This window comes from Homo sapiens, chromosome 7 (assembly GCF_000001405.40).
Source record: "Homo sapiens chromosome 7, GRCh38.p14 Primary Assembly".
Lineage (NCBI taxonomy): Eukaryota > Metazoa > Chordata > Mammalia > Primates > Hominidae > Homo > Homo sapiens.
This window is the reverse complement of record NC_000007.14, coordinates 96,352,840-96,366,008: the sequence shown is the minus strand read 5'-3', so window position 1 is coordinate 96,366,008 and position 13,169 is coordinate 96,352,840. Positions and strand designations below refer to the sequence as shown.

General features: G+C 39.1%; 1 long non-coding RNA gene across 1 annotated transcript in view, besides 1 other annotated feature; it reads right to left on the bottom strand.

Annotated features, from left to right (window-relative positions):
• Nucleotides 1-7,507, bottom strand: part of LOC105375410 (uncharacterized) — an 86,586-nt gene extending 79,079 nt beyond the window's left edge. The window contains exon 1 of the long non-coding RNA XR_001745288.2: nucleotides 7,265-7,507. This is a non-coding gene — a long non-coding RNA (uncharacterized LOC105375410). The remainder of the gene's footprint in view (nucleotides 1-7,264) is intronic.
• Nucleotides 10,699-11,277: an enhancer, noted in NCBI's record as "NANOG hESC enhancer chr7:95984044-95984622 (GRCh37/hg19 assembly coordinates)". NCBI's record gives its function as "activates a minimal SCP1, AML or CMV promoter by ChIP-STARR-seq in naive H9 embryonic stem cells {active_cell/tissue: H9 hESC(naive)}" and the evidence as "EXISTENCE:reporter gene assay evidence [ECO:0000049][PMID:30033119]".

The window sequence follows — 13,169 nt, the reverse complement described above, 5'->3', positions numbered from 1 at the left end:
CCGCATGTTCTCACTCATAGGTGGGAATTGAACAATGAGAACACTTGGACACAGGGTGGGGAACATCACACACCAGGGCCTGTCAGGAGATGGGGGGCTGGGGGAGGGATAGCATTAGGAGAATCACCTAATGTAAATGATGAGTTGATGGGTGCAGCAAACCAGTATGGCACATGTATACCTATGTAACAAACCTGCACGTGTGCACATGTACCCTAGAACTTAAAGTATAATAAAAAAATTTAAATACTTGTAAATATTTGATCTATGTATGCTAAACACAGAGCTGATCCACATAAAGATTTACATAAAGATGTTAAAAAATAATAATAATATTAACCCTTTATGTGTAATATTGTGTGGGAAAAAAAAGAAAAGGAGGAGCAAATTAATTCCAATGTAAGCAGAAGAATAAAAATTAGAGCAAAAATTGATAAACTTGAGAACAGGAAATTAATAGAGAAAACCAAGAAAACCAAAGCTTTTGCTTTGAAAAGATGATAAAATCAAATAGCCTCTCACCAGGCTAACTAAAAAACAAACAAACAAACAACAAAAATAAGACAGAATACAAGTAACTAATATCAAATTAGTAAGCCTCTACCCAAGTTAAGAAAAAAAAAACAGATGACAGAAATTACTGTAATTCATAGAGGGGATATCACTACAGATTCCATGGACATTAAACAGATAATAAAGAAATACCATAAACAACTATGCCCACAAAACCTAGAAGAAATAAACCAAGTCCCTGAATGATACAATCTGCCAAAACTCACATAAGAAGAAATATAAAATCTGAATAGGCTGATATTTATTTTAAAAATTAAATTAATAATTAATAATGTTCCAAAACAGAAAGCACTAGTCTCAGATGGGTTCTTTGGTGAATTCCATAAAACATTTAAGAAAGAATTTATACCAACTTTGGACAATCTTTTTCAGAAGATAATAGCAGAGGCAATACTTCCAAACTCTTTCTATGAGGCCAGGTTTGCCCTAAACCAAAACCAGACATAGATATTACAAAAACAAAAAACTACAGATCGATATCTCTCATGAAAATAGATGCAAAATCCTCAACAAAATAGTAAATTTAATCCAACAATGTATAAAAAAATTATGTATCCTGACCAAGTGGGATTTATCCCAGGCACATAATTCTGGATCAACTTTCAAAAATCAATTAATATAATCCAAAATATCAACAGGCAAAAATTACATGATTATATCAATAGATGCAAAAGAAGCATCTGACAAACTTCAACACCCATTCATAACAAAAATATTCAATAAACTAGGAATAGAGGAGGACTTCCTCAACTTGATACAGACAATCTGTAAAAAACCTTATTAAAAAATAAAAAAAACCCTACAGCTAACATTATACTTAATGGTGAGAAACTCAATGCTTTCCCACTAAGATCAAAATGTTCCCGCCTCACCACTGCTTTTTAACATCGTACTAGAAGTATTAGCTAATGCAATAAGATGTGGAAAAGTACAAAGATTGAAGAGAAAATTATAAAAATTCTTTCTTCACAGGTGACATGATTTGTTCATATAGAAAATCCAAAGGAATCAACCTACAACCTCCTGGAACTAATAAGCCATTATAACCAGGTTACAGGATGCAACATTAATACAAAAAAATTCGATTGCTATGTTATAACAGCAGTGAACAAATAGAAACTGAAATTAAAAACACAATACCATATACATTAGCACCCCAGAAGTGAATTATTTACATATAAATCTAATATAATATTTACAAGATACAGATGAGAGAACTACAAAATTCTGATGAAAACAAAGAAGAACTAAATAATTGCAAAGATATTCCATGTTCATGGATAGGAAGACTCAGTATTACTAAAATATCAGTTCTTTCCCATTTGATCTATAGATTCAATACAATCTCAATTAAAATCCTAGCAAGTTATTTTGTGGATATTAACAAACTAAATAATTACTACTAGTAACAAACTAAATGATTATGAAAATATCAGTTCTTTCCAATTTGATCTACAGATTCAGTACAATCTCAATTAAAATCCCAGGAGGTTATTTTGTGGATATTAACAAACCAATTCTAAAGTTTATGTAGAGCAGCAAAAGACCAAATAGCCACAAAATTGAAGAGCAGCAAAATTGAAAGACTGACACTGGCTTCAACACTTACTATAAAGCTACGGTAATCCAGACAGTGTGGTATTGACAAAATAATAGACAAAATGGAACAGGATAGAGAGCCCAGAAGAAAAACCCACATAACTATAGTCAACTGATCTTGGACAAAGGAGTAAAAGCAATACAATGCAGCAAAGATAGTCTTTTAACAAATGATGCTGGAACAAATGGACATATACATGAAAAATTGAATCTAGATACAGCCTTCACAAGACTTAACGCAAAATGGATCACAGATCTAAATGTAAAATGTAAAACTATAAGACTCCTAGAAGATAACCTAGGAGAAAATCTAGATCTCCTTGGATTTGGTGATGACTTTTTTGATGCAACACCAAAAGCATGATCCATAAAAGAAAGAATAGAGAAGCTGAATTTTATTAAAATTTTAAAAATTTCTGCTTGCAAAGACACTGTCAAGAGAATGAAAAGACAAGTTATAGAGTAGGAGAAAATATTTGTGAAAGACATATAAAGAACTGTTATCTAAAACATATGAAGAACTCTTGAAATTCATCAGTAATAACATAAACAAATGGACTAAAAAATGGGTCAAAGGCCATAACAGACCCTTCATCTCACCAAAGATGAAATACAGATAGCAAATAAGCATATGAAAAGATTTTCCACATCATGTCATCAAGGAAATACAAATTACAACAACAATGAGATATCACTACACACCTATTAGAATGGTCAAAATTGAAAACACTGAAAACCAAATGCTGGTGAGGATATGGAGCAACAGGAACTCTTACTCATTGCTCGTTAGAATGCAAGATGGTTAGGCTGGCTGGGCGCAGTGGCTCACACCTGCTATCCTAGCACTTTGGGAGGCCAAGGTGGGCAGATTGCCTGAGCTCAGGAGTTCGAGACCAGCCTGGGCAACATGGTGAAACCCTGTCTCTACTAACATACAAAAAATTAGCCAGGCATAGCAGCGTGTGCCTGTAGTCCCAGCTACTTGGGAGGCTGAGGCAGGAGATTCACTTGAACCCTGGAGGCGGAGGTTGCAGTGAGCCAAGATCATGCCACTGTATTCTAGCCTGGTGACAGAGCGAGACTCCATCTCAAAAAAAAAAAAAAAAGAGTAAGAGTAAGACTCTGTCTCCAAAAAATAAATAAAATAAAGAATGCAAGATGGTTATGGCCACTTTGGAAGACAGGTTGTTATAAAACTAAACACCCTATGGTTTACCATATGATCCAGCAATCACACTCAATGGTATTTACCAAGGAGTTGAAAACCTATGTCCATGCAAAAATCTGCACACAGATGTTTATAGCCACTTTATTCATAATTGTAAAAACTTGAAAGCAACCAAGATGCCCTTCAGTAGGTGAAAGAATAAACTATGGTACATTTAGACAATGGAATATTATTCAGTGCTAAAAAGTAATGTGCTATCGAGCCTTGAAAAGACACAGAGGAAACTTAAATGCATATTTCTAAGTGAAAGAAGTCAATCTGAAAAGCCTACATACTATATAATTCCAACTATATGTCATTCTCAAAAATGCAAAACTATGAAGACAGTTAAAAGATGAGTGATTGTCACGGGCCAGGAGGATAGGGAGAGATGAACAGGTGGGCACAGAGAATTTTTAGGACAGTGAAAATACTGTGTACAATGCAATAATGGTGGATACATGTCATTATTAATATGTACAAACCCATAGAATATATAATACCAAGAATGAACCCTAATGTAAACTATTGACTTTGGGTGATAATGATATTAATGTAGGCTCAGCAGTTGTAACAAATGTACCACTCTGGTGGGGATATTATAATAGGGATGTTATGCATGTATGAGAGGCAGGGAGTAAATGGGAAATCTCTGTACTTTCCTCTCAATTTTGCTTTGAATCCTAAACTGCTCAAAAGATAAAATATATTAAATAAAAATTATTTAAATGAGGTGACTATCACTATGGATACCTTGCATAGCCTTACAGAGATAATGTACGCATTCAGGTAAAAGCCATTTGTTTACAATGGGAACATAGTGTTTGCACTATGGTAAACACTTGGTAAAATATTTTAGAGATTATTTTGAAACTACTTTTGCAGAAATTATAACTGAGGAAATTATAACAGTAAAAGAAATCTGACATGGCTGACTCCATCTTGTCTCAAGCCTCACAAGTTTCCTGTCTTTGCTCATTGCTGGGCATGAGCCAACCTAACTTTAGGAGAAATTTAGTTTATAGTTTAAATAATAGCCCTTCCCTCAAACTAAACTGTGCTTGTAAAACTAACAAAAGATCACCAAGTTAGCATGAGAGGGGCCTGAATTCTAAATCATTACCAGCCATTATTTGGAGGTTATAAGATTTGCAACTTCCCCAATTACTCTGGAAAATAACATCGCTATTGTAGATCCTAAGATTGGCCTTTCGAGATGTCTTTTCAGGTTTTTGCATTTCTGACTACTGGACAACCCCACATGGACCTGCCAACCAGTCCCGAGGCTTCCACCAGGAACTGACTCAGCAGAAGAGAGCAGCTTCCTCTCCCTGTGATTTCATCTCAGTGCCAACCAATCAGCACTCCCAACTCACCGGCTCCCTACCTACCACATTATCCTGAAAAACTCTGATCCCCAAATTCTCAGGGAGACTGATTTGAGTAATAATAAAGCTCTAGTCTCCCGTATAGCCCCCTCTGCGTGAATTAAACTCTTTCTCTATTGCAATTGCCCTGTCTTGATAAATCGGCTCTGTCTGGGCAGTGGGCAAGAGACCCTGTTGTGGGGTTACAAACTGGAGAACCTGTTGGACAGTTACAATTTTCCATTAGTACATAAATCTTTTTAACATTTCCATTTTATTGTTTTGTATGAATGCACCTTAATTTAATCTGTCTATTCCCTGCTCCATTTATGTGTATAGAAGTTATTTTCAGTGTTTTGTTAATATAAATAATGTTTAAATGAGCACCTACTTTTGCACACTTATGTAATTAAATCTGTAGGATAAATTCTTAGAAGTGAAGAGTATATTTCCATGAATTTACGTATACCAATGATGTATAAGTCAGGCTTACCAACTTTAAGACATTATCCAGAGTACACATCCTCAAATAAATGGCTATAAGTAAGAAGAGATAAATGTTGAATTAACTTTGTCCTTGTATAAAAACACATCTCTATTTTTAATTTACCACTTTTTAGGGTGACTTTGACTAGTTGACATTACCACATAATGATTTATTCGCAATTTCCTAAGCAATTTAATTAATTTTTAGGGTTTATAGATATTTCATAGACTTTCAAATAGGAGAGCAAATGGCTGTTAAAAATAGCAGGAAAAAAAGCTATCAGCAGGAATTTGTGAGCAAAAAGAGTAGTCTGAAAAATTATACTTTCCAAATTTTCTCCTATTTAGTTCAAGGCATATCTTATTCACAGTACCTTATCGTGTGTTAAAATGTTTTATGGGTCCTTTGTGAAATACCAAAAGTTACTGAATATATGACTTATTTTTGCAAATCAAATGTTTCTTTAAAATTCAAAAAATTTTCAATGAGGTTTAATTAGGCAGAAAAGTGGTTCAGAACTCATTTGAAAACTTGCATGATAATTAGGAAACATCAAAGAGTATTGTTATACTCTAAACTGTAAACAACCGTTAATGATTTCATAAATTGCAAACATTATCCTACAGCACAGAGAACTGAAACTTATTTTTTAAAGGCGAGTGTAGATTAAGCTAATGATTGACTCAATTCCTCTTCTCAACAAATGTTTCATCAGAAACTGCATTTATCACTGCAAGGGTCAAAGTTCATGGAATTTTGGAGCTGGGAGAGACCTTAGGTATCTTCCTATCCAGCAGATGAGGAAACTGATTTAGCCAATGTCATATTTGGTTACCAACAGACTGAATGGGGACACAGTTTTCTTGACTCTCCACCTGGGCATTCTCTACTATATATTGCTGTATCTGTATTAACATATATAAAAGCACTCACAACAGCATCTAATAAATTTAGCATGGCATTTTTTAAATTGATATTTAAAAAATCTTTTATGTTGGCCGGGCGTGGTGGCCGGGCGTGTAATCCCAGCACTTTCGGAGGCCGAGGCGGGTGGATCACAAGGTCAGGAGTTCGAGACCAGCCTGGCCAACATAGTAAAACCCCGTCTCTACTAAAAATACAAAAAAAATTAGCCAGGCCTGGTGGCAGGCACCTGTAATCCCAGCTACTCTGAAGGCTGAGGCAGGAGAATCGCTGAAACCCGGAAGGTGGAAGTTGCAGTAAGCCAAGATCACGCCATTGCACTCCAGCCTGGGCGACAGAGCGAGACTCCATCTCAAAAAAAAAAAAAAATCTTTTATGTTGAGAATTTCTGTGATAAGTAATAGGGATACATCAACAGGGAAGAAAGTTTTTCTCTCATTCAGGAATCCATATTCTGGTGGGAAGACCATATTTCCATAATTAGACAATGTTCTAGGGCAAGAATGGGACAGTCTGCTAGGATTGATTAGCCTTTCTCCTTGGCTTGTTGAGAGTTGTGGCATGTCCCATATATGTCATGACTGCCCTAAAGGAAACCTAAAGGAGAAAAAAAAAAACCTGAGTGCAGTGGCTCACACCTGTAATCCCAACACTTTGGGAGGCCAAGGCAGGCAGACCACCTGAGGTTAGAAGTTCAAGACCAGACTGGCCAACATGGCAAAACCCTGTGGAGCGACAGGACTAGCTGGAATTCCTAGGCCGACTAAGAATTCCTAAGCCTAGCTGGGAAAGCTGATCACACCTACTTTTGAACACGGGGCTTGTAACTCAGCTCACACCCAACCAATCAGGTAATAAAGAGGGCTCTCTAAAATACAAATTAGGCTAAAGCAGGAGGTAAAGAAATAGTCAAATCACATATCGCCTGAGAGCGCAGGGGGAGGGACAATGATCAGACTATAAACCCAGGCATTCGAACAGGGAGTGGGCAACCCCCTTTGGGTCCCCTCCCATTGTATGGGAGCTCTGTTTTCACTCTATTAAATGTTGCAACTGCATACTCTTCTGGTCCGTGTTTGTTATGGCTCAAGCTGAGCTTTCACTCACTGTCCACCACTGTTGTTTGCCCACATCGCAGACCCGCCGCTGACTTCCACCCCTCTGGATCCGGCAGGGTGTCCGCTGTCCATGGAGGCACCCATTACTGCTCCCGATCCGGCTAAAGGCTCGCCATTGTTTCTGCACGGCTAAGTGCCCAGGTTCGTCCCAATCGAGCTGAACACTGGTCTCTAGGTTCCACGGTTCTCTTCTGTGACCCACGGCTTCTAATAGAGCTGTAACACTCACCGCATGGCCCAAAGTTCCATTCCTTGGAATCCATGAAGCCAAGAACCCCAGGTAAGAGAACAAAAGGCTTGCCGCCATCTTTGGAGCGGCCGCCCCATCTTGGGCGTGGCCTGCCACCATCTTGGGAGCTCTAAGAACAAAGACCCGCCCATAACACCCTCTCTACTAAAAGTAAAAAATTAGCCAGCCCTGGTGGCAGGAACCTGTAATCCAGCTACTGGGGAGGCTGAGGCAGGAGAATTGCTTGAACCCGGGAGGCGGAAGTTGCAGTGAGCTGAGATCACGCCACTGCACTCCAGCCTGGGTGACAGAACACAACTCTATCTAAAAAACAAAAACCCTGAGGCAAAATTAATGTAAGTAGATGGTTTATTTGAGCCAATTATTCAAATTGTCCTGAATGTACATTCTAATCAGCAGCAGTTATAAGTGGGTTTTTAAAAGAAAAAAGACCAGACATGGTAGCTCACGCCTGTAAACTCAACGGTTTGGGAGGCTGAGGCAGGAGTATCATTTGAGTTCAGGAGTTAGAGACCACCCTGGGCAACATGGCGAAACCCTGTCCCTGCTAAAAATACAAAAATTAGCTGGGTGTGGTGGTACGCCTGTAGTCCCAGCTTCCGGAGGCTGAGGTGGGAGAATCTCCTCAGCCTGAGTGGTGGAGGTTGCAGTGGCGTAGTTGCAGTGAGCACTGCTGGTGCCATTGCACTCCAGCCTGGATGACAAAGTGAGACCCTGTCTCAATATAAATAAATAAATAAATAAATAAATAAATAAATAAATAAATGCAAGCAAAGAAGAGGCAGTTCCTAAGTTGTTCACCAAGAATTTACATTAAAATAACATAAGCTATTGATTGGTTACACATTGTTTGTGATATTCTTTGTATCACATGTTCCAGGAGCATGAGGATAATGGGTGAGGCAGCTAGTCAGAAAAAAAATGCCTTTAAATAATTGCCCCAGACATAGGTTGGGACAGGGGCATGACTGAAGTCTCATACCCAGGTCTCCGTAGGGCTGATACATTTTTCATACCTCACATATCTCTCTCTGCTCTGAGCTATTTTTCTTTTCTCACATTTAAATTACAATGTTATTTTTTACACTTTTGCTGCCGTTTGTAAGTTTTGTTTTGTTTTGTTTTGTTTGAGACAGAGTCTCGCTCTGTCGCCCAGGCTGGAGTGCAGTGGCACCATCTTGGCTCCCTGCAACCTCCACCTCCCGGGTTCAAGCTATTCTTGAGCCTCAGCCTCCTGAGTAGCTGGGATTATAGGCCTGCACCACCACGCCTGGCTAATTTTTGTATCTTTAATAGAGACGGGGTTTCACCATGTTGGCCAGGCTGGTCTCAAACTCCTGACCTCATGATCCGCCTGCCTTGGCCTCCCAAAGTGCTGGGATTACAGGCGTGAGCCACTGCGCCCGCCCCATACGTTATTAAAGCATGTATCCATTACTGTACCTGATCCTTGCAATAACTAGCTAGGCTATATTATTGTCTCCGTTTTTCAGTTCCGGAACCCATAGCTCAAAAGGGTGACTTCCCCAATGCTTCACAGCCAGGAAGTTGTAGAACTGGAACTAGAATCCTAGGCTTCTGCCTTGAGTCCAGTGAGTTTGTGATAATATTAATCAACTTGAATATCTCAAGTTCCAAATATTTAGTTTTCTGGGAATTCTGAGGTCACTTTAGAAGGAGATCCTTCTGTGGAAGTTTGGGTAACCTAAATATCCAAATTATTGCATGCTTTCTTGGAAAAGGAAGATAGTAACGCCCAAAAATTCCATGCAAGTGCTTGTGGCTGTTAGTGAACTGTGAGGATGGTATTTTGCTAGAAGCGTGAAACCACAGTCCTCAGTTTGTTTGTTCCATTCCTTGTCATGGGGATAAGGAAACTTGAACATAAAATATCATTGAAATTAAATAAGTCTGGAAAGAAGCATACCAAAATATTACCAGTCTCTGGGTGGCTGAATTACAAGTTAATTTTATTTTCATTTTCTGCATTTTCCACATTTCCTACAATAATTGTGTTACTTTTATAATAAGAAATTATGCAATTCATCTGTATCTGCATATAATTCTCAGCCTATTCAAAAGAAAGAAGTTCAAACTTTCTTAAGCTTGATACTTGGACAGACAGATACTTGGAACTGCCTCTGATAAATGAATGTTCTTTAAAAAAAAAATTAGCTGAGTTGGCTAAAGAATTCCTTCAGGCATTTGTACATTCTTTTAACAAATAGTTATTGAGCACCTACTGTGTGCCAGGCAGTTTTAGGCACTTGGAACACGGCACTGAACAGAACAGATAAAAATTCTTGCGTCTGGACCTTTCATCCTAAAGGGGGAGACAGACCAAAGTACAATAAAATTAAAAATCACTGTATGTATAATATAGTATGTTAAATAATGCTAAATGATTGGAAGAAAAATAAAGCAAGGAGGAATAGAGTGCTTGGAGGGTGGGGCATTTTGCACAGGGTATTCAGGGAAGACCTCAATAAGGAGGTGACCTGAAAGAGGTGAGATGTGAGCCCTGTGGGTTTCTGAAGGAAGAGAACTCCAGGTAGCGAGAGCAGCACGTGCAAAGGTGTGAGGCAGGAGTGTGCCTAGCATGTTCTAGATACAGCAAAGTGGCCAAGTCTGGAGGACTATGGGCAGCAAAAAGAGTAGGAGTTGCCACCAGCAGGCAAAGAACATGATCTGACTTACGTTTCTGGATCATTTTGGCAACTGTGGTAGGGACAGATTAAAGACAAGCAAATAAGATGGTGCAGGAACCCTTTTGTAGGGGCCTCTGGCCCCCAAGCATGGAAATAAAAGGAAACCTTGAGTTCTTTGAAGGGAAATGGCAGACACCTAGCTAACCCTGGAAGTAAAGAAGCAACATTATAAGGAAGGAGGTAATAGTAACCTAAAACAATAGCCAAGAAAGTTAGAGTCAGGAGAATTTTTATTCTCCTATAGAAACTAAAGATAATATCTTTTTTTTCCTTACTTACTTTCTTTATTTTTTTTATAGAGGCAAGGTCTCCCTGTGTTGCCCAGACTAGTCTCGAACTCCTGCATCTGCCCCCTTGGCCTCCAAAGGTGCTGGGATTACAGGTGTGAGCCACTATGTCTGGCCAAGATAACATCTTAAAAGATGTCCTGAGTTGTTTTTCAGAAACCTGGACCCCCACTGATATGGCCTGGCTCTGCGTCCCCACCCAAATCTCATCTCAAATTGTAATCCCCACTTGTTGAGGGAGAGGGGTGATTGGACCATGGGGGTGGTTACCCCATGCTGTTCTTGTGATAGTGAGTGAGTTCTCATGAGATCTGATGGTTCTATAAGTGTTCGGAAGTTCTTCCTTCGTGGTTCTCTCTCCTGCCACCTTGTGAAGAAGGTACTTGCTTCCCCTTGGACTTACACTGTGATTGTAAATTTCCTGAGGCATCGCCAGACATGTGAAACTGTGAGTCAGTTAAGCCTCTTTTCTTTTAAATCACCCAGTCTCCAGCAGTTCTTTATAGTGGTGTGAGAATGGATGAATACAGGCTTCAAATGGATTCACTGGCAGGTAGACCTCAGATAAGAGAGAACTGAAGGCTGAACTCTGACCATTGTTCTTTGTTATTAAATTTCTTCCTGAGGGTCCTGGAGGGAATCACCCACTCTCCTCAGCCTGAGCTAGTATTCTTTTCTGTTAATCCCAAATTTTTGAACAAAATTTCTCTTCCTTTACCAGTTGTAAATCAGAAAAATCTTTGAATCGGCCTATGACCTGTAAGCCTTCCCCCTTCAAGGTATCTTGCACTTTTAGGCCAAAACAAATGTATAAGCTCCATGTATTGATTTACAATTTTGCCTACAACTTCTGCTTTCTTGAATTTTACCTGTGCCTTTAAAATCTCTTACCTGTAAGCCAGGGGGAGGTCAAGATTTGGTCATTAGCTGCCTAGTCCTCCTTGCTTGGCACCCTGCAAATAAACACCTTTTTTTGTACTGCTGCAAATTCGGTGTGGATATTTGGTCTTAGTGTGCCAAGCAAGCGGGCCCCAGTTTGGTTCTATAACACAAAGGCAGAAGCAGGGGGAAAACAGTGGGAGATTAGATATATATATATATATTTGAGACAGGGTCTCAATAGGCTGTAGTGAAGTGGTGTGATCATGGCTCACTGCAGTCTCAACCTCCTGGGCTCAAGTGATCCTGCCACCTTAGCCTCCTGAGTAGCCTGGACTACAGGCATGTGCCACCACACCCAGATAATTTTTGTATTTTTGGTAGAGATGGGGTTTTACCATGTTGCCCAGCCTGGTCTTGAACTCCTGAGCTCAAGCAGTCCTCACACCTTGGCCTCCCAAAGTGCTGGGCTTACAGGCATGAGCCACTGCACCCGGTCACCTCTGGGTATGTATTTTTAAGGTGGGGCTGCTTATGGATTGAAAGAGGGTTGTAATAGAAAGAGTCAGTGGTAACTCAAAAGTTTGTAACTGAGCAATTAAAAAATTGGGGTTGTCATATTCTTAGGAAGACTATGAGAAAAACAAATTTGAGGTGGACAGAATTTGGAGTTCATTTTTGGACATGCCAGGTTGAGCTGCCTCTCCTCTATCAAAGTAGAAATGTTTATTTGACACTTGGATATACTCAGGAGTTCAAGGGAGTAGTCTGAGGTAAAGCTGGGACTTGTGAGCACATAGATCATATGTAAATCCATGAGACCAGATGGGAGCAACAAGAGCAAGTGAGAATACATAAGAGCAGAAATCCAAGGTTGACCCTGGGTCCCACCTACATATCGTGATCAGGGAAATGAGGATAACTACCAGACAAGATTATCTTGGAGGCCAAGTGGCAAAAGAAGTTATGATCTATTGATGGTAAGTCAAATGCAGCTGAGAATGACTGTATTTGGGACCAATTATTTCCCAGAAAATTCTGAGTAGTGTTTGTTTCAAGGATTAACAGCCCATAACAACTGTGCCAGAGGAAAAGCATTTTAGAGGCCACAGTTTAATGGAAAATGAAAGTTGGAAACATGAATTTGAGGGCCAGCTCCACCGCTTATTGGCTGTGTGATCTGGGGAAAGTCAATTAACCACATCAATCCTAGGTTCCTACATTGTAAAATGGAAGCAGTAGTAGCTGCCTCGTTCTGTTGCTAGGAGGAATAATGGAAATAAATCTTTATCACTGTTTCTAACAAACAACGGGCACTCAATAAATGTTAGCCTTCTCTTTGTCATTAAACAGGATAGTTCTTGGCGTCAATGTAATGGATCGTTATGAGCATACTCTGTATTTTAAGTTCTATGAATTTGTTACTTGGTAATCCAATTCCCCATTTTCACTTTTTCTAATTACTCAGGTACCAAATATGTGCCCCTTGCTAAATTTTTAACTTGTCTTCTCAAACGAAAAATTCCCAGATTGAAGAATATTTATAGACTAACTGGTCCATGTTCATCAAATTCTTTATGTCAAGAAAAGCTAAGGAGTTATTCCAGATTAAAGTTGAACAAAATGACATGAAAACTAAATACAGTATGTGATCCTGGACTGGATTCTATACCTTTGAGGGCAAAATGCTGTAAACACATAATGGGGACAATTAACAAAATTGGAATATAGAAAACTAGGCTTGGAAAAACTTTTTTTCACATACATTTT